The 18,767-nt window shown below is 50.9% G+C and overlaps 1 protein-coding gene and 1 long non-coding RNA gene across 4 annotated transcripts in view, besides 1 other annotated feature; one reads left to right on the top strand and one right to left on the bottom strand.

The window, feature by feature from the left end:
• Window positions 1–18,767, bottom strand: part of CCDC40 (coiled-coil domain 40 molecular ruler complex subunit) — a 63,972-nt gene that overhangs the window by 23,802 nt on the left and 21,403 nt on the right. For 2 of the 3 annotated variants that reach the window (NM_017950.4, NM_001243342.2), the window contains exons 8-10: window positions 18,161–18,318; window positions 17,832–17,954; window positions 11,206–11,327 (exon numbers count right to left, since the gene is read on the bottom strand). In NM_017950.4, coding sequence (NP_060420.2) covers window positions 11,206–11,327; window positions 17,832–17,954; window positions 18,161–18,318 — 403 coding nt within the window. Of the gene's footprint in view, window positions 1–7,394; window positions 9,308–11,205; window positions 11,328–17,831; window positions 17,955–18,160; window positions 18,319–18,767 lie in introns of those variants that run through there. The other variant, NM_001330508.2, reaches the window with a different exon arrangement.
• LOC124904074 (uncharacterized) lies at window positions 5,276–18,546 on the top strand. Its single transcript, XR_007065931.1, has 2 exons — window positions 5,276–5,580; window positions 17,327–18,546. It is a non-coding gene; the product is annotated as an uncharacterized LOC124904074 (long non-coding RNA).
• Window positions 10,096–10,920: an enhancer, noted in NCBI's record as "NANOG-H3K27ac-H3K4me1 hESC enhancer chr17:78039691-78040515 (GRCh37/hg19 assembly coordinates)". NCBI's record gives its function as "activates a minimal SCP1, AML or CMV promoter by ChIP-STARR-seq in naive H9 embryonic stem cells {active_cell/tissue: H9 hESC(naive)}" and the evidence as "EXISTENCE:reporter gene assay evidence [ECO:0000049][PMID:30033119]".

Below are 18,767 nucleotides of genomic sequence, written 5' to 3'. Positions count from 1 at the left end.
ATCACACCACTGCACTCCAGCCTGGGTAATGGAATGAGACTCTATTTTAAAAAAGAAAAAAAAAACAAACTTTATTGCTAAAAAATGCTAACAATCACCTAAGTGTTTATCAAGTCATACTTGATAAAGTATGCTGGTAGAGGGTCTTGCATTGATGTTGCTGGCTGCTGACTGATGAGGGTGGTGGTTGCTGAAGGCTGGGGTGGCTGTGGCAATTTTTTTTTTTTTTTTTTGAGACAGGCTCTGACTCTGGCTCTGTCACCCAGGCCGGAGTGCAGTGGTGTGATCTTGGCTTATTGCAAATTCAGCCTCCTAGGCTCAAGCCACCACCTCCCTCAGCCTCTCGAGTACCTGGGACTACAAGTGCACACCACCACACCTGGCTAATTTTTGTATTTTTTGTAGAAATGAGGTCTCACCATGTTGCCCAGGCTGGTCTCAAACTCCTGAGCTCAGGTCATCTGCCTGCCTTGGCCTCCCAAAGTGTTGGGATTACAGGTGTGAGTCACCCCACCTGGACGGCAATCTTAAAATAAGACAATGGATTGACTCTTCCTGCCACATCCATTGCCACATGGATCGACTCTTCTTTTATGAAAGATTTCTCTGTAGTATGTGATGCTGTTTGATAGGATTTTACCCACGCAAGACCTTCTTGCAAAATTGGAGTCAGTCCTCTCAAACCCTGCTGCTGCCTCATCAACCAAGTTTATGGAATATTCTAAATTCTTTGTTAATTTCAACAATGCGCATGGCATCTTCACAGGAGCAGATTCCACCTCAAGAAAACGCTCATCCGTAAGAAGCAACTCCTCATCCATTAAAGTTTGATCATATGAACACAGCAATTCCATCCCATCTCAGCTCCACTTCTCATTCTAGTTCTTGTTTCCACCACATCGGGAGTGACTTTCTGCGCTGAAGTCCTGAGCCCTCAAAGCCATCCACAGGCGTTACAATCAACTTCTGTTAATGTTGATATTAGGTTGGTGCAAAAGTAATTGCAGTTTTGCCATTAAAGGTGATATTTTGGGGCCGGGCGCAGTGGCTCAGGCCTGTAATCTCAGCACTTTGGGAGGCCGAGGCAGGCAGATCACCTGAGGTCAGGAGTTCGAGACCAGCCTAGCTAACATGGTGAAAACCCGTCTCTACTAAAAATACAAAAATTAGCTGGACGTCTGGCTTCAGCAGCGACCACCCCTGCCTCCACCCTCTGAGCTTTGCATGTTCCACTAACCCGGGGCGGGCGGCAGATGGAGGTGTCAGGCTGCTGGCACCTCTGCAAGGGCAGAACACTAACCTGACCATGAGCGGGGACTTGCACATCTGTCCCCAATAAAAGCAATTCCAACCTTAAAAAAATAAAATTAGTTGGGCGTAGTGGCAGGTGCCTCTAATCTTAGCCACTTGGGAGACTAAGGCAGGAGAATTGCTTGAACCTGGGAGGTGGAGTTTTCAGTGAGCTGAGATCGTGCCACTGCACTCCAGCCTGGGCGACAAAAGAGAAGCTCCACCTCAAAAAAAAAAAAAAAAAAAGTAATATTTTGGGCCAGGCACGGTGGCTCATGCCTGTAATCCCAGCACTTTGGGAGGCTGAGGTGGCTCATGCCTGTAATCCCAGCACTTTGGGAGGCTGAGGTGAGCATATCACTTGAGGTTAGGAGTTCAAGACCAGCCTGGCCAACACGGTTGAAACCCCATCTCTACTAAAAATATAAAAAATTAGCCAGGTGTGGTGGTAAGGACCTGTAATCCTAGCTACTCAGAAGTCTGAGGCAAGAGAATTACTGGAATCCGGGAGGCAGAGGCTGCAGTGAGCCAAGATCGTACCATAGCACTCCAGCCCGGGCAACAGAGCAAGACTCCACCTCAAAAAAACCAAGAGTAATATTTTGACCTCCTCTCATGAATCACGAATATCCTTAACGTTATCTAGAATGGTGAGTCTGTTCCAGAAGGTTTTCAACTTACTTTGCTCAGATCCATCAGAGTAATCACTATCTATGACAGCTATAGCTTTACAGACTGTATTACTGCAATAGTAAGACTTGAAAGTTGAAATTACTCCTCAACCCATGGGTTGCAGAATAAATGCTGTGTTACAGGTGTGGAAACAACATTCATCTTGCACAGCTCCAGCTCCATCAAAACTCTTGGGTGACCAGGTACATTTTCTTTCTTTCCTTTTTTCGGTTTTAGAGACAGGCTCTTGCTATGTTGCCCAGGCTGGTCTAGAACTCCTGGCCTCAAGCAATTCTCTCACCTTGCCCTCCCAAAGTGCTGAGATTACTTGAGCTAGCATGCCCACCAGGTGCATTCTCTTTTTTGAGACAGAGTCTCGCTCTGTTGCCCAGGCTGGAGTGCAGTGGCGCGATCTCGGCTCACTGCAACCTCCGCCTCCTGGGTTCAAGTGATTCTCCTGCCTCAGCACCTGCCGCCATGCCTGGATAACTTTTTGTATTTTTAGTAGAGACGGGGTTTCACCGTGTTAGCCAGGATGGTCTTGATCTCCTGACCTCGTGATCCGCCTGCCTGGGCCTTCCAAAGTGCTGGGATTACAGGCGTGAGCCACCGCGCCCGGCCGGAAGGTTTGATCTTCTGTCCATACCACCTGAACTTTCTCCAGACGCGCAATTAGGCTGCTTCCCTTTCTTTTGTGTGTTCATTAGAGCAGCACTTTAAATTTTCTTCAAAAACTTTTCCTTTGTGTTCACAACTTGGCTATCCCTTTGGTGCAAGAGGCCTAGCTTTTGGCTTATCTCAGCTTTTGACATGCCTTCCTCATGAAGCTTAATCATTTCTAACTTTTGATTTAAAGTGAGAGGCGGCCAGGAGCGTTGGCTCACACTTGTAATCCCGGCACTTTGGGAGGCCGAGGCAGGCAGATCATTTGACGTCAGGAGTTCGAGACCAACATGGTGAAACCCTGTCTCTACTAACATACAAAAATTAGCCGGGCACGGTGGCAGGCACCTGCAATCTCAGCCACTCGGGAGGCTGGGGCAGGAGAATCGCTTGAACCCGGGAGGTAGAGGTTGCAATGAGCCAAGATCGTGCCACTGCCCTCCAGCCTGGGGGACAGAGTGTCTCAAAAATAAATAAATAAAATAAAAATAAAGTGAGAGGCATGAGACTCTTCCTTTCACTTGAGCACTTAGTGGCCATTGTAGGCCTAATTTCAATACTGTTGAGTCTTGGAGAATAGGGAGGCCCAAGGAGAGGGACAGAAATGGAAGAACGCCAGCCGGCGAGCAGTCAGTACACACACGACATGTCTTGATTCAGTTTGCTGTCTTAAACAAGGGCAGTTCGTGGCTTTGCCAAAAACCAATTACAATAGTTAACATCAAAGGTCACTCATCACAGATCACCATAACGGACGATGACAATGAAAAAGTTTGAAATATTATGAGAACGACCAACATGTGGTGCAGAGGCAGGAAGTGAGCACGCACCGCTGGAGAGATGGTGCCGGTGGACTTGCTCCACACGGAGCTGCCGTCAACCTTCAATTTGTAAAAAATGCGATTCCTGTAATCCCAGCACTTTGGGAGGCTGAGGCGGGTGGATCATGAGGTCAGGAGATCGAGATCATCCTGGCTAACACAGTGAAACCCCGTCTCTACTAAAAAATACAAAAAATTAGCAGGGCATGGTGGCATGTGCCTGTAATCCCAGCTACTCTGGAGGCTGAAGCAGGAGAATTGCTTGAACCCGGGAGGTGGAGGTTGCAGTGAGCCAAGATCGCCCCACTGCACTCCAGCCTGGGTGACAGAGTGAAACTCATCTCAAAAACAAACAAACAAACAAACAAACAAACAAACAAAAGCGATTCCACGCAGTAGGAGAAAGCGAGGCACACTGAAACGAGATGCGCCTGTATTTACCCGGGAGAAACGGAAACACGTCTCCATGCAAAGATCTTTTCAGGACAGCCACAGCAGCTTTCTTCACGGTATTCCAAAGGTAAAAGCCAAATGTCCATCAGTTGGTGGATGGACAAATACATCTGATGTATCCGTGCAAGGGAATACTATTCAACAATAAAAAGGAACAGACTACTGATCTTGCAACATGGGTGGGTCTCAAAAGCATGATGCCAAGTGGAAGAAGCCAGACAAGAAAAGCTACAGACTGCGCGATTCCATTTATATGACATTCTAGAAATGGCAGAGCTATAGGCACAGAAGGCGGCACAGCGGTTGCCAGGGCTGGAGGTATGCAATTTTGTACATAAATTATCCCCAGTCATCCTGACTTCAAGTAAATAAGTTACTCATTTTCTTTTTTTAGGAAGGAGCAGCCTTATAAATGTCTAAATTTGACAATAAAAATAAGATGCCCAATTTAAAAAGATACAGTTACAAACTGTGCAACAGAACTCCTAACACTCGGGGAAATGTGTGCCTGAGAGTGTGCTGACATGCTAATGAGTCTTCTTGTCACAAAAAGAGAAAGTCGATGGTATTTTTAAATCCTTTTCTCTGTTTTTCAAATGTCCTGTAACGCAATCACTTATCCTTGATAAGGATTATTATTTTTTTAAATCGTACTTTAAAAACTCCGTAGATCAGCAGGCACCAATAGAAAGTACAGGTTCTCCTCAGCTTACGGTGGGGATGCAGCCCGGCAAACCCATCGTAAGTTGAAAATATCCTAAGTCCAAAATGCAGGCTGGTGCCGTGGCTCACGCCTGTAATTCCCAGCACTTTCAGAGGCCAAGTGGGGGCAGATCACCTGAGGCCAGGAGTTCAAGACCAGCCTGGCCAACATGGTGAAACCCCGTCTCTTTTAAAAATACAAAATCAGCCGGGCATGGTGGTGGTGCATGTCTGTAATCCCAGCTACCTGAGAGGCTGAGGCAGGAGAATCACTTGAACCCAGGAGGTGGAGGTTGCAGTGAGCTGAGATCGCACCATTGCACTCCAGCCTGGGCGACAAGAGTGAAACTTCATCTCAAAAAAAAAAAAAAAAAAAAAAGCTGAAAAACCCAAAATGCACTTCCTGCAGATTTCCTGCCAGGCACCCCGGCTCAGCCCAGCCTCCCTCAAACGTGCTCAGGACACTCCCATGAGCCTACAGGTGGGCAAAATCATCTCACACGAAGCCTGTTTGATAATAAAGTGTGGGGCATCCATGTAATTTATTGAATACCGTGCTGAAAACCAGGGAGGTTGTGTGGGACTCAAAGCCCAGTTTCTGTTGCCTGCCTGTTGCTTTAATACCATGGTAAAGTCCAAAAATCGTGACGTCGGGGACTGTCTGTAAATGAAACAAAAAGAACGGATGGAATCTGGAATATGGCCCAGGCATTGGGCACCGTGCCTCTGAGGATTAAGGGGGGGACACAGGAGGTGTCCAGCAGCCTGTGGTCAAGGCCGGGTTCTCTCCCAGGACACTGCCCGTGGCTTTTGTCCTTGGGTCGGCCTGCCTGGCTGCCGTGGCCACAGCTGAGGGCCTGGGAGGAGGCTGTGAGGCCGTGTGGCTGACCGAGTCACATCTTGGGGTAAAGGGGCTGTGGCTGCGGGCCAAGACCTGTCTGCCCTCTGTATTTCCCGCCAGGAAATAGGACAAAGGCAGGTAAGAGCACGGGTGCTTTTGGCTCCAAGTCCCAGGCGTGTGTGAATTCTGATTAGGTTATCTGCCTCCAAGTTAAGTGCGGTCCAGGCTTTGTTTTCTGAAAGTGAAAGTGACCCATTTCCCTGCGTATGTGATGGGAAGGGGCTGACCGTGGGCTCCTCGTGGTTATTCACCTAGCTTTGGGACCCACGTTGGATTGCCTGGACCGCTGCGGTCTTTGAAGGGTTGGTGTGGCAGGCCCGGTCTGGTCTTGAGGGTCACACACGGTTCCTTCAGGACTTCTGGCTGCTGGGGAGGGCAGTGTCCAGCTCCCACAGGCAGGCCCAGATGGACAGGGGGTGTGCCCACAGCCACGGTCATTCCCTGGTGGGAAGAAGGGACAGGACACCATGAGCTACCACAGCAGTCCTGACAGGCCTCACCCATGCCCCTGTGTCTGGGGACACTTTTTTATTTTTTTGAGACAGGCTCTGGCTCTGTTGCCCAGGCTGGAGTGCAGTGGCACCATCTCGGCTCACTGCAGCCTCGACCTCCTGGGCTCAAGCAATCCTCCCACCCAGCCTCCCGAGTAGGTGGGACTACAGGTCTACAGGTGCACACCACCATGCCCCGCTAATTAAAAATTTTTTGAGAGACAGGGTCTTGCTCTGTTGCCCAGGCTGGAGTGCATTCGTGCAATCACAGTTCACTGCAGCCTCAAATTCCTGGACTCAAGTGATCATCCTGCTTCTGCCTCCCAAGTAGATGAGACCACAGGCACACACCACCACACCTGGCTATTTTTTATATTTTATTTTAGAGACAAGGTCTTACTTTACTATGTTGCCCGGGCTGGTCTTGAACTCCTGGGCTTAAGGGATCCTCTTGCCTCAGTCTCCCAAAGCACTGTGATTACAGGCAGGAGCCACTATGCCCGCCCATGGGGGCACATTTTTAATGGGGTTGTTACTCTGTCTTTGGTCTGTGGCCTCAGGTCTGCTGGGTCACCAGTGTCCTTGGGTATATGGGGCATTGGTGGTGACTGGGACCCACCTGCCAGATCCCCAGGCTAGAAGGAGGCCTGCTGGGGACACTGTGGCAATGCCCACACCCAACCCATCCCACACTGCCTTCCGCTCCTTCCTCCTCCATCAACTGGGGGCAAGGACAGTGTCCCCTTTGAGGGGCTACACCAGACCGAGCTGAGCCTGGGGCTTGTTACCCAGGAAACAGTGAAATCACCCGCTCGTTGCCTAGCTCTAATTCTGCGTTCAGTGTCTTGCTCCATCCTGTCCTCCCTCCCTAGGGCAGGCTCCAGCACTCCATGCCAAGGGGAAGAGCCTTTGAGGAGTCGTCTCTGCCATCATCAGGACTGAGGGAAAAGGAAGTCTAGGAGATTAGGGCAAGCCCTCAGTTTTCTTTTCTTTTCTTTCTTTCTTTTTTTCTCTCTCTCTCTCTGTCTCTCTCTCTCTCTTTTTTTTCTTTTTCTTTCTTATTTTTTTGAGACGAAGTCTCGCTCTGTCACCCAGGCTGGAGTGCAGTGGCACCATCTTGCTTCACCGCCACCTCCACCTCCCGGGTTCAGGCGATTCTCCTGCCTCAGCCTCCTGAGTAGCTGGGACCACAGGTGCCCGCCACCAGGTCTGGCTGTTTTTTTGTATTTTTAGTAGAGACGGGGTTTCACCATGTTAGCCAAGATGGTTTCAATCTCCAGCTCCTGAGCTCGTGATCTGCCCGCCTCGGCCTCCCAAAGAGCTGGGATTACAGGCGTGAGCCACCGCGCCTGACCCCTTCAGCTTCCTCAGGTCGACTTAAACAGGAAACAGAATAACACGTTTCATGTTTCTCCTGAACTTTTATGACCGTGTGCAAAACTCCTGCAAAAATAGGGAAGACAGCAAGAAAAAGCAGCCAAGACAGGCACAGCTTCTGAGCTAAGCTTGCAGCTTGTGTATGAGACACGGGGGCAAGATTATGGTTACCGCCCCCCCCACGCAGCAGCAACCCCCTGACCAAGGACGGGGAAGTCAGTCTGTCTTCAAAGCATTAGGTTGTAGACTCGACATCAGACGAAGAGAGACACAAAGGCATGGGGAAAGAGAAAGGGTGAGGTTTGGCTGGAACCTAATCAAAGGTATTAACTTATCTGAAAAAATGCCATGGGTGTCAGGAGGGAGGAGGGGTGGGGAATGGAATGGAGAAAGCAGCCAAGGTCAGGGTGAGGGCTGCTCGCGGGACACCTCCCGCCCATGTGGACGGACAGGCCATGAACTTCGGGGAAGAAGCAGGAAGCAGACAGGGCCGGGGCCCAGGCATTCCGCCCTCTAGCCGGTCCCTGAGCAGGGGTCTGTGTCATCCGCTCCTGTGTCCTCCCCCACAGATAAGAATCTGCTAGTCCGAGCGTGGAGCATTCGGTTCTTTGGTGTTTATATTTCATCATGCACATAAATGGGCTATTATACTCAGTTACACGTCAGGCTCTGGTGAGCTCGATTCATGTAAACTAACTCCAGGACAAGTGTGCCTTCTCGGTGTGATGGCAAAACCAAGCTTCTGGGCCAGGGGGTCCTGCCCCATGGGGATCTCGCAGGGTGAAGGCTCCAGAAATGCCCAGACAGCCACCAGGGTACCGGCCTGGTATGCACCATCCTGACCATCAGCCAGGAATGTCACCATTTTCTAAGATGCTCTACAAATCTGAACATCTCAAGGTCAATATTTGAGGTATAGTTCAGTCACTGCACTCCTAGCTTGGAAGTCCTAAGCTATGCAATAATTTATTTCTGTAATAATGGCCCTGATCTATTAAACCTGTCTCCAAGTTGCTTCTTCAAATCTATCTGGGTGCAAACAGCAAATCTCTGTAATTACAGTTTATACTTCTCACAATGTTCTACACGGCCTGCACTTTTAAAAGACTGGCCGGGCGCAGTGGCTCCCGCCTGTAATCCCAGCACTTTGGGAGGCCAAGACGGGTGGATCACCTGAGGTAGGGGTTCAAGATCAGCCTGGCCCACATGGTGAAACCCCGTCTCTACTAAAAATACAAAAATTAGCCAGGCGTGGTGGTGCACGCCTGTAATCCCAGCTACTTGGGAGGCTGAGGCAGGAGAATCGCTTGAACCCAGGAGGCGGAGGTCGCAGTGAGCAGAGATGGTGCCACTGCACTCCAGCCTGGGGGACAGAGCGAGACTCCATTGCAAGAACCACAAAAATATAATAAATAAAAGTTGGGCCTCACTCCTCCCCGGGGCCTTGGTGTGGCAAGCTGCAGGTGAAGTCAGAGGCTCTCTCACTCGTTGTGAAGTGTTTGTGCGTGTACATAGTCCACTAAAATATTCACTCAACATTCTGCGCATGCACGTTTTATAAAACAAGATTATCTATTTTCTTCATCAATCGGATTGGCACAGTCCTGAAGTGTGACAACATGCTGAGCTGTCAGGGGACTTTGAAACACCGCTGCCGGGGGCGTGACTGTCACAATCCTACTTAGCAATACCCGCTAGACCCAGACATTCCGGGCTTGATAGGCAATATAAAAAAGGCTATATAGCATCCTGGTGAGCGTTAGCATTCGCGGATCCGGTTATCTACAGCAGCACCGCCATAACAGACGGACGCGAACGCCCTCGATGCCCCGGGCAGGAAGCTTCCCCGTAGAAGTATCCCAGCGGAATGCCATGTGGTAGAAAGGCGGGAACGAGCGGTGTTTATATTTTGACTTGGGAAGCGCTCTAGGGACACGCTGTTAAATGGAAAAAGCAAAGAGGTGCAGAACAGTGAGTGTGGTGTGCTCCCACGGAGCAAGAGAGGGAAGGAAGACTCCGGGTGAACGCATATGCTTTCTTGCAATTGCACACAAGTTAGGCAGGGGATCCCAGAAAACCAGGTGCCTTTGCTTGTCTTGGGAGGGGGTTCTAGTGACTGCGGGCCGAGGAGGAGGAGACCTGATCGAATACGATTTTTACAATGTTTGCAACCAAAAGGAAGCCATGTCTCTGAGGGCAATGAGGACGGTTTGCAGAGAGGACACTGGTTAGTCTGGGATGCAGGGGAGAGCTGGACAACAGGACCATCTCGGAGGTGACGTCTTCCCTTGGGGACGCTGCAGGGTTCACAGGCCATGAGCCTCGGAGAGCCAGGCCAGGTGCTGGACCCTCAGAGAGAACCTGGCCTTGACTTTTCTTAAGGCCCGTGGCAGCTGAGCCGTGTAATTAAACAGTCAGGTATCAAGTCCTAGCATTGGGGCAGGAGGAAAAAGACACCCAAGTGGGCAGATGGCCAAGTCCTCTCGTCCTGGTGTTCAGGCAACCCTGGTGACACAGGGAGAGGAGCCCTTGCCCGGCCACAGCTGGCTCTGGTTCCTCGACCTGCATCTTTACAGGGGAAACGAAGCTTCAGCCAAACATCGCCTGTATCAAACCACAGTGTTCCCTTTGGCTTTATGTTGTTGACTCAAGGGAGTGAAGGAAATGAGTATTATTATTATTTTTATTTTTTTTGAGACAGAGTCTTGCTCTGTCTCCCAGGCTAGAGTGCAGTGGCGTGATCTCGGCTCACTACAACCTCCGCAATTCAAGCAGTTCTCTGTCTCACCCTCCCGAGTAGCGGGGATTACAGGCGCCCACACCATGCCTGGCTAATTTTTGTATTTTTAGTAGAGACGGGGTTTCACCATCTTGGCCAGGCTGGTCTTGAACTCCTGGCCTCGTGACCCACCCGTCTCAGCCTCCCAAAATGTTGGGATTACAGGTGCGAGCCACTGCGCCTGGCCAGAAATGAGTATGGTTAATCCAATATTATTCATTTGAAAATGTTTTGGTCTAAAAACTTTTAAAAACAAAATGGTTTCATTTTGTTTCTTTAATCACAGCACCCAAAAGGAAAAGCATCTCCTGGTTGTGTGACTGCTGCTGGCTGCCTGGCTGCGGGTGCTGTGGGGCCAGCCAGACCCTCATTCCTTGGTCCAGCCTTTCTTGAGCGCTTGCTGTATGCCAGGCTCTGTGCTGGGCACAAGGGGTGGAGACTACGAAAGGTGGAGGGGAAGTTAAAGCTCAGCGGGTGAGACACGTGCCACCACAGTGCCCGGCTTTTTCTTTCCGCGTCCCGAGACCTGGTCACCCTGGGTGGTTTTAGGAATGAAGGCAGCACCTGTGTCTCCAACGCCCTGCCCTGAGCCACGCATCCATCCCCAGAAGTGAGGGGATGCCCAGAGGAGGCCTCTTCCTCCCCTTCCTTTGGAGATTAAAATAGGATTTCGGTTGGAATGCAGCCCTCAGGCAGAACAATCGAGAAGGGATGGGGTTTCCGCACTCAGGTGGTGATACTGCAAATCAAAGGGACACCTTTACCTCCCAAAGATAGCTTTCTCTTTACCCTGCTCTGTTTCTACTTAATCCTGCCAGGAAATCTGAGCAGAAAAGCCTCTCCCCTCCCAGCGCCGCAGTGTTGGAAAGGATTTAAGAATCGCTGAAATCTTACCAAACAATGAGGGAGCTTTCCGGACGGAAGCCCGGACCCGGGGATCAAGGTGCACCCTCTGTCCCAGAGATCCGGTGGACCCAGAGAGAGGGGGTGTGGGGCGGGCCTGCCACGGACCCCTGGGGTTCCCGCACATCCTCGCTGCCTGTGGCCCTGCAGTACCTGAGCGCCTCCAGCACCGCCCTGTGCGCCTCGTCGCGGTGCTTCATGCCCACCAGGCTGCTGGCCCATTGCTGCATGATGCGCCTCTTCTCCACGCTGATGGCGTCGATCTCGGTGCAGGCCTGCAGCCAACAGGGGAGGGGGCAGGAATGGCTGTCTCATTTCATTTGCGAGCAAAGCCCAAGAACACCAGAGCCTCACATTCCCAAATCTTCCTCTTTTCCTTCTATCACCGGTACTTTCCTTGATCATGCATCTGCAGAGGGGTAAACACGAGCCTGAATGTAGCTTTCAAGATAACCCGTACCCGCTTTGAGCCTTTGCTCAGGGCCTGCGGTGCTCAGTGCTTGGGAATGAGGAGGAGGAGGGAAGGGAGGAGAGGGAGGAAGGGGGAGGGAGGAGGGGGAAGATGAAGGAGGGAGAGGGGAGGAGAGGGAGGAGGGGGAAGATGAAGGAGGGAGAAGGGGGAGAGGGAGGGGGAGGAGATGAAAGAGGGAGGAGGGGGAGAGGGAGGGGGAGGAGATGAAAGAGGGAGGAGGGGGAGAGGGAGGAGGGGGAGGGGGAAGACGGAGAGGAAGAGGGAGAGGAGGAGGGAGAGGAGGAGGGGATCCTGGCCAGCATCCGTGAAACACCTCTGCAGGGTTGGTGGTGTCATTGATTCGGACTGAGGTCCCACAGGACGGGCCCAGCACCGCTTCCTGTAGGGAGGCCATGATGGAAGGAGGTGTTTGTCTCAAGAATGGCCAGGGCTGGATGCTCTCGTCCAGCTGGGGGAAGCAGGGCTGCCTAGACTGGGAATGAGGAGGCACAACTGGACAGCCAGGGGTGGGCAGGTCAGGCAGGCTGAGCGGAGGCTGGAAGTCTAGGGGCATCGTGGGGGGCAGTGAGGGGCCACCTGCAGTAAGGGCTTGGCCCATGCAGGGGAGGGGCTTGAAAACTAGGGGGGTGGTTCAGGAATTTACTCCAAGGGAAAGGGGAGTTCCTTTATGCTTGGGGCACAGAGGTTAAGGCTGGTACGGCTGCCTGGGCTGAATCTCACCCGCTGTGCCTCAGTGTCCCCAGCTGTGACATGGGTACAGGAGCGGCACCTCCATGGGTACAGGAGCGACCCCGGGGCTGCCGGGTCAAGTGAGTTGATGCCTGCATGCCCAGCACGGCCTGGATCGCGGTCTTGTTTTGAGTGGTGTTTGGGATTCTTGATGAGTCATCCCCAATGCAAGCACTGTGACTTGAGCAAGCTGGCGGCCCGAGTCAGCCAACTGGGGCGTCCTGTAGAACGCCAAGTCCCAGAAGTGCCTGCACGCCGTGACACCCAGGCAAGCTTGGTAGACAGTGACTGAACCACAGTGCGCTAGAACATCACGGGGGAGCCGAGGGCAGCGCCGGGCATGAGAGAGGCCATCGCCCTGGAGACACCATGCTTGGCTGTGAGGGTTTCTGAACCATCTATTCATTACGACGTAACCTAAAATGGTGTGAATTAAGTATACCACGATGAGGGGGACTTTTTTTTCCTCTCACAGACGCTTACTTAGGATTATTGGGCAGCCTAGGAAGGGACACTGTGTACATCCCGGGACTGACTTCCCTTTTGTCTGTAGTATTTCCTTTTATTTTAGCTGACATGTTACAGCTGTATATCTCTGGGGTACAGAGTGATATTTCGACACATGTACAATGTGTACTGCTTGAATCAAGGTAATTAGCGTATCAGTCACCTCCAGCAATTGTTATTTCTTTGAGTTGGGAACATTCAAAACCCTCTCTTCTAGCTATCTGAAAATGTACAATAAATTATTGTTGACTGGGCCAGGTGCGGCGGCTCATGCCTGTAACCCCAGCACTTTGGGAGGTCAAGGCGGACGGATCACCTGAGGTCAGGGGTCCGAGACCAGCCTGGCCATGGGGGTGCAGGTGTCTATTGGATGCACGGATTCCCTTTCCTTTGGATAAATGCCCAGTCGTGGGACTGCTGGGTCACAGTTTTGTATGGGGGTAAGTTATTCACTAAGGAGGCTGCTCTGTGCCATTGGGCAGTGGGAGCTGGCCCAGGCAGCAGGTGGGGACCCAAATTCAGCCAGGATGCACCTTAAACTGAGCCTGTGCGAGGCCTCCCCATGGTGCCCCTGAGGCTGCCGGCCACAGCCTGGTTGACTGAGGTGCAGGTCAAGGCATAAGGATGGAAAGATGGCTGCCGGGCTCAGTCACCTGTGCATTTAGACCCCAGTTTTTCACAAAGGCAAGTGTTCAGCCTATGCAAATAGAATGTGCAAATAAGCAAAAAGAAAATGAAAATTCAATAACCCTAACACTTAGAGATAACCATTTCTAACTTCTTACACCTGTGATTGTGTGTGTGTGCGAAATCAAATTCTATATATTGTTTCATAATCTCCTATTAATTTTTTTTTTTGAGACACTTTTACTCTCGTCACCCAGGCTGGAGCAAAATGGCACGATCTTGGCTCACTGCAATTTCCGCCTCCTGAGTTCAAGCAATTCTCCTGTCTCAGTCTCCCGAACAGCTGCGATTATAGGCACTCGCCACCACGCCTGGCTAATTTTTGAATTTTTAGTAGAGACGGGGTTTCACCATGTTGGCCAGGCTGGTCTCGAACTCCTGACCCTCAGGTGATCTGCCGACCTCGGTCTCACAAAGTGCTGGGATTACAGGTGTGAGCCACCATGCCCCGCCATATTAAAAATTAATGTATTGTGCCAGGTGCGGTGGCTCATGCCCGTAATCCCAGCACTTTGGGAGGCTGAGGCGGGGGGATTACTTGAGGCCAGGAGTTCCCAACCAGTCTGGGCAACAAAAAGAAACACCGTCTCTACAAAAAGAATAATCATAATAAAAAAATTAGCACGGTGTGGTGGCATGTGCTTATAGTCCTACCTACTTGAGAGGCTGAGGTGGGAGGATTGCTTGGACCCAGAAGTTTGAGGCTACAGTGAGCCATGAGGGCCCCAGTGCACTCCAGCCTGGGGGACAGAGTGAGACTTAGTCTCTACCATCATTCTCAGCAAACTATTGCAAGGACAAAAACCCAAACACCGCATGTTCTCACTCATAGGTGGGAATTGAACAATGAGAACACATGGACACAGGAAGGGGAACGTCACACAACGGGGCCTGTTGTGGGGTGGGGGGAGGGGGGAGAGATAGCATTAGGAGATATACCTAATGCTAAATGACGAGTTAATGGGTGCAGCACACCAGCATGGCACATGTATACATATGTAACAAACCTGCACATCGTGCACGTGTACCCTAAAACTTAAAGTATAATTTAAAAAAAATTAAAATAAGAAATTAATATCGAGACAGGTTTCCATGTCAGTAGAGCTCTTTTTGGTGTAGTGTATTCTGATGCACAGGTGTATGAAAATGGGTTTCACTAATGTCCTCTTCTTGGGGTCTTTCTTTCTGATGACACAACACGGTGATGAGCGTCATCTCCCCCATGAGTCTCTATTCACTGTATTTATTTCTTTAGAGACGGGGGTTTCACTCTGTCACCCAGGCTGGAGTGCAGTGGTGCAATCATAGCTCACTGCAGCCCTGACTTCCTGGGCACAAGTGCTCCTCCTGCTTCAGCCTCCTGAGTAGCTGGGACTACAGGTGCACCCCACCAAGCCTGGCTTTATCATTTTTAACATACAAAAATGTTATCTGCATAGGTCTTTGCTAGGTTCCTTGGAATGGAGTCTAAGCACTAACAGGGTGCGGGGTTAGGGTTAGGGTTAGGGAGGGAGTGGCTGCATATGATCATATCGCCCTGGATGAAGATCTTGATAAAGATAAAGGCCAATCTGTATTTTCATGGCCGACAGCAGGGAGGGCTCATCTCTCCTTATCTTTGCCAACTCTGTAGGGGACTCCCTGTCCTTTGGTTACTTGTGACTTCGCTCGATGAACAGGGGCCCTGCTGTTGCCCCCGCACTGTTCTGGGTACTGGAAATGAGAAATGAAGGAAGTGCGGGCGGCCCCCTTCCCTGGGGAAGTTGCATCGAGGGGAGGGCGGGAGGTGCAAAAGGAAGCATCTACCAAGTAGCCCACCTGCCTCCAGGGTGTGGAAGCACACAGGGCGAGTCTCCTTGGCTTTCAGCCTCTCTTCACAACCCCGGATTTACTAATGGCTGCGAGTTGTCTTCTCCTGCCTGTCTCCCCGCCTTCATCTGGTTTGTGGCGTCCTTAATCTACAAAGGTTTTATTGAGGGTGTGATTGTCCTCCTAGTCTTTTGTTTTGTTTTGTTTTTTGAGATGGATTCTGGCTCTGTCGCCCAGGCTGAAATGCAATGGCATGATCTCGGCTCACTGCAACTTCTGCCTCCTGGGTTCAAGCGATTCTCCTGCCTCAGCCTCCCAAGTAGCTGGCATTACAGGCGTGTACCACCACGCCCAGCTAATTTTTGTATTTTCAGTAGAGATGGGGTTTTGCCATGCGGGCCAGGCTGGTCTCGAACTCCTGACCTCAGGTGATCCAGCGGCCTCGGCCTCCCAAAGTGCTGGGATTACAGGCGTGAGCCACCTTACCCGGCCCCTCCTAGTCTTTTCCTTTAAGGTTCCTGCTTTTGGTGTTATACTTTGAAAGGCCTCCCCAGCCCAGGATTATATAAATATTTTCATTTGTTTTCGTCTGGCACATTTTCCCCCATTTAAATACTTGATTCCATCTGGAATTTATTTTAGTGTCTGGTATGAGGAAAAGATTTAATTTTTTCCCAAATGATTAACCAAATGTCCCGACATCATTGGATGCATAATTCATTAGCTCTCTGGTAATTTATAATCTACTAGGTTTTTATATAAACTCTGGCTTGCTTTGGGGCTCTCTCATAGGCTTCAATGTCTTGCCTGTCTATCTTGTGACACATTATTTTAGCCTCTAGAACTTTACGGTTTTGTTTTATTTTAGACAGGGTCTTGCTCCGTAGCCCAGGCTGGAGTGCAGTGGTATGATCATATTTCATTGGATCTTTCATAGTTCAAGGATCTTTCATGATCCTTCCTTTTCAAAATTTTCTTGGGTATTCTTGAGCATTTAGTCTTCTAAGTGAACTTTAAAATCAATTCGTTGAGAATAAAGTGTTGTTGTTCTTTTTTTTTTTTTGACCTCCCGGGCTTAAGTGATCCTCCTGCCTCAGCCTCCTGAGTAGCTGGGACCACAGGTGCACACCACCATGGTGGGCTAATGTTTTATTTTTTTTTAATTATTATTTTTTTGTGGAGACAGGGTCTCACCATGTTGCCCAGTCTGGTCTTGAACTTCTGGGCTCAAGCCATCCTCTTGCCTCAGCCTCCCCAAGTGCTGGGATTACAGGTGTGCACCACCTTGCCTGGCCAGAGCTTTACTGTATACTTTAATATTTGGTGCGGCGATGCTAGGGTGATCTGCCATCCTGCTGTGTCCAGGACCCCCTGGGCTTAGCATGGAAAGTCCCTTGTCTTGGGGACCCCTCAGTCCTGAGCAGACTGGGATGGCTGCTTGCCCCGTTTGAATCTTCTCTTCCAAAACCATTCTTGGCTAGCCTTCCTAATTTATTTTTCAGATAAAACTCCAGAATTGTTTTGTTAACTAAGGGATTGTTTGTTCCTGAGATTCTGATTGGGACGTGCTCTACTTTAATTGCATTTGTAGCTGGAGAGACCAGTGCTGAGTAACGCCCAGCCCCGGGCCCTCCCTTTACCCTGGGAGCCCAGCGTGCTCATCCGTTCCTTCAAGTCCTCTTCCTTCTTTTTCATTGGCTGGGCACGGTGGCTCATGACTGTAATCCCAGGACTTTGGGAGGCCGAGGTGGGTGGATCACCTGAGGTCAGGAGTTTGAGACCAACCTGGCCAACATGGTGAAACCCTGTTTTTACTAAAAATACAAAAATTAGCTGGGCATGGAGGTGGGCGCCTGTAGTCCCAGCCACTCTGGAGGCTGAGGCAGGAGAATTGCTTGAATCTGGGAGGCGGAGGTTGCAGTGAGCTGAGATTGTGCCACTGCACTCCAGCCTGGGCGACAGAGCGAGACTCTGTCTCAAAAAAAAAAAAAGTTAATTGTTTCCTCCGTGTCATTCCCGCACCCGTGAATGAAGATGGTGACTCATAGTTTTTTTTTTTTTTTTTTTAAGTTGCAGTAACTTTGGTTTCTGGTGCTACCACTACAGACCTGAATCTGGGGCCAAGAGGGAGCAGCTTTCACCCCCTTCGTTCCCTCCACTCCCTACTCCACGAGGTGCAGAGATGTAGGAGCTACCCGGAAGGCCGGCTGCCCACGGGGGTGAGAATTGTTAGAAAGACTTCAGTCCTCCCCGGAAGAGGTCCCTGCAGGCTAAGGAACTTGCTGAGCATCCCCGCAGCAAGCTGGCCTTGGCGGTCATGAAGCGACTAGAGTACCTGAACCCTGCGAGGCCTTCTGTCACCCACTAGCCAGGGAAGGAATAGGAATCCGGGCTGTCCACCTGTCAGTATCTACTGTGGCCCCACCATGGGGAGGGCCCGATGTTTGCAGATGTAAGCTGGCTGCAGTCACTCATCCAGCAGACGGGCAGGTGCAGTCTAGTAGACCCACCAGCACCCTGTGCGTGGACACTCACTGGAGGGTCGAACACTGAGAGCTGCGGGGACTGCTTTTACCTCACTCACTGCTTTCCTTAAAATCCGGGTGTCCTCAGCTTGGGCCAAGTACTGAGCCTCAAACAGGGCAATGTCTTCTTCCAGTTGCTGGGCTCGAGTGGTGAGCTGGTCCACATACAGGTCCTGGGAAACAGGATGAGAAGCAGCCCCGTCAGGAGGTGCCCGTGGCTGAGGGCCTGTTCTCCACCAACCCTTGATACAAGTTGACGCCACCCAGGCCGGCCGCCACCCCTCCGGCCGGAAGCCTTCACGCAGGAGGCAAAGCTGAGCCCCTTTTTGAAGCTCCACGGTCTGGTGATCATTAAACATGTGTCGAGTTTGCAGAATACCTGCTTTTTCTTCTCGATTTCTGCCCGGATCCTCTCCGTCTCGGCCTTCTTTACCACTTGTGTCATCACGCGGATGTCGTCACGCATGTCCTGGTCGATGTTCTGCATGTAGAAGAGATGCAGGGCCAAGTTCTCCATCTCAGTCTGCAGAGCCGCCACTGCGGGGCGCGGCGGGGGAGAAAGAGAGAGAGAGTGAGTGGGGAGGCTGTCCCAGCGTCCCCCATGCAGAGACCCAGGAGGAAGCAGGGAACAGCCGTTCTGGGCACCCTTCCTGCCATTTTTGGGTAAGACTGGGAAACTGCTTTTAAACTATCAAGACACAGACTTTGTCAGCAAAGAGTTTACAGTCTCTTGGAAGAGACAAAAATATACGGAATCTACATCCACAAATTGCAGCAAGCTGTTCCATTCCCCACCAAGTCTCAGAGATCCTCCTGGTAGTCTAAGGATACACTGAAGTAGTGCCAGGTGGTAAGGCTTCGGGTTGATTGCATAGATGTCTTACCACTGAAAGGCTGGCAACCTTAGGTGGAGTCTTAAGTCCCCTGGGAGGAGACGAGAACATCCAGGGCAGGCTGAGCTCCACAGATGCCCCTGCACTGACACC

This window comes from Homo sapiens, chromosome 17 (assembly GCF_000001405.40).
Source record: "Homo sapiens chromosome 17, GRCh38.p14 Primary Assembly".
NCBI classification, from domain to species: Eukaryota; Metazoa; Chordata; class Mammalia; order Primates; family Hominidae; genus Homo; species Homo sapiens.
Note: the sequence above shows the minus strand (reverse complement) of the source record. Positions and strands in the feature narration are given on the sequence as shown.